Source organism: Homo sapiens, chromosome 3 (genome assembly GCF_000001405.40).
Source record: "Homo sapiens chromosome 3, GRCh38.p14 Primary Assembly".
NCBI lineage: Eukaryota > Metazoa > Chordata > Mammalia > Primates > Hominidae > Homo > Homo sapiens.
In genome coordinates, this window is record NC_000003.12 from 177400737 (window position 1) to 177403322 (window position 2586).

The following is a 2586-nucleotide window of genomic DNA, read 5'->3' on the forward strand; positions in this document are numbered from 1 at the left end:
GGTTTCTCCTGTTGATCAGGCTAGTCTCAAACTCCCAACCTTAGGCGATCCACCCTCCTTGGCCTCCCAAAGTGCTGGGATTACAGGTGTGAGCCACTGCCGGCCACACCACCTGGCCACATATGAATATTTATAGTTCTTCTTTGACTTACTTGTTTTTTTATCTCTTAATTCTTTGTTTCAGAGTAGCTAATGTTGCTGTTGGATTTCTGTTTTTATATAAGGCACTGACACTCAAAAAAAGGGAGCAGGCTCTGTTAGCCCCTCAGGTTATCTGTGGTTTGGGGGGCAGTTCTTCCCTTGTTCCTACCAGCCTTGCTTTCTGGGGTCTGAGCCTAAATCTTATTTACCTTGACTTGTTATCTGATAAAAATTTTAGTCTTGATTCTCGCACTGTTTGACGCTCAGCCTGTTGCAGCATGGCCTCCACCTCTCATTCTCACTGAATTTTTTCTTTGCAAGTTATGTCCCTGGCTCTTCTTTTCTGTATCACTACCCCTGGGATATTAGGTGTTTGACTCAGAGGTGAGCTAAAGTGTAGTGACTCTGTCCAGACTTAATCTTAGAGCTCCAGAGCTTCACATTATTTTCCCCCTAAATTCTATCACCCATAAACAGTCAAAGATACTTGGAGTTGCCATGTACTGCAATGGCCTTGTACGTATCATGGGTCTCTCAGCTTGGTGACACCAGTCCAGGCTATATGAAGAACTTTTGTTGTTATTTAAGAACATAGTATATACTGTTATTCTTTTAAATTCATCATCCATAGAAAGACAGAATGCTATTATGGGAAGAGTCTTTGAATAAGATAGAACTGGATTCAGATCCTGCTTTTCCTGCTTTACCAGCTGTGTAACCTGCTATGTTGACCTTTAAGACTGAGTTTCCTCATCTATAAAATAGTGAAAATAGTAAGCATTCTCTCAGAAAATGAGAGAATTTTTGTAGGGTACCTAGCACAATGCTTGGAGATGACAGAAGATTGATACCTGTTGGTTAAATATGTTTTTTTATTCTGTTGCCTTCTCTTCTACATTGGGCGAGATTTCAGCTCTAATCTTTTAGCACATTCATAGAATAAATAATTTCAAAGTATTTTTCATGCATAATCTGGTAAATTACTCTGTTTTATTCTGTTCTTCTACAAACCACCAAAAGGAACGAGCAAATCAGGGACACTTCCAGGGGACATGACTCTTCCAAGGGTTCCCTTAGAAATAGTTGGTCCCTAATCATCTGACCACAGAAGGTGTGTGATCTCATGTCATCAACTCTCAGTTCTGATTGACTTTGCTCAGGGTTCTCATTTGTTCTGCGGATCATTCTCTACTCACATTCTTTACCTTTATCCACTCGAGCATTATGCCTGGTAAATAGCTGTTTTTTAAAAAAGTTAAAGTTTAATTTCATTGTTACATTTTAATTGACATAATAATTCTGCATATTTCTGAGGTATGGTGTAGTATTTTGATACATGTATACAATATGTGTAATGATGAAAGCAGGGTAATTAGCATTTATCACCTCAAATATTGATCATTTCTTTGTGTTGGGAACATTCAAATGATCTCTTCCTGTTTGATGAGTTTGGATGCATTCAGGGTAGTATCATTTCTTCCAGCTATTTGAAAGAAATAGCTTTTGAGACACAGTTTAGGAAGCATCTTTATCCAGCCGTTCGTTCTTTCCCCTCTCAGATAGAGTGAGCGCTTGTTTCTTTGTGCCCCCTTTGCGCCCATCCAAGTGTCTCACATGGAACCTGCTATTCTCTAAAGGCCTTATTTGTTACTATGATCTTTTCTTCCATTCTGTGGTCCAAAGCCAAGCACAGCATTTGGTATACAGTAGGTGTTTTATAAATATCTGTTGAAGGTAAGAGTGGTGAATTAATGAATAGTGGAAGACAGAGAGTCATTGAAATGAAGGTCATTGCCACAGACGATGGCCCACATGCTGTTTTCAGAGTGTCACAGCATGCCAAATGGGGCCTTCCAATGAGGGCTTGAATACCTACTTCCTCAGTTTTCTGTTGAGATAATTATTCGGCTGGGTAAGGTTGAAAGGTGATTGGAATATTTGTTAGGGAACCAAAATGCTTCAGCCAGAAATTCAGACGGCTCCTTGTCTTCATAAACTGCTTGGGATAAATAAGCCTAGTTTGTGTAATTCACACTAAGCCTTGGTGTGGGGGGGCAAATGGGTGTATGACCTCATGTGTACATTTCCCCTTGGCATATTTTAATGAATATAACTCAGTTTATTGAAAAGGCTTTAGAAACAAAAATATTTCTTTAATTGAAAATTAAAACCCCTAATATATTTTCTTATTGCTTTGTATAGGTAAGATGTTCATCATTTTAATGATCTGTCTTATTTTAAAATTAAGGGAAGCAACTGATTGAGTAAATAAACTGGGAAGAAGAGACAAGTCTTTCTCACAGTATGATTCCTAGATATTCACCCTTCCAAAGAATATGTATAAATACTTTCTTTTCCAGGATGGTCTTGACCCTCACCCCTCTTAAATGTGGGCTAGACTGAGTGACTCTCTTCCAAAGAATAAATAAAAGAAAGGGAAAAATA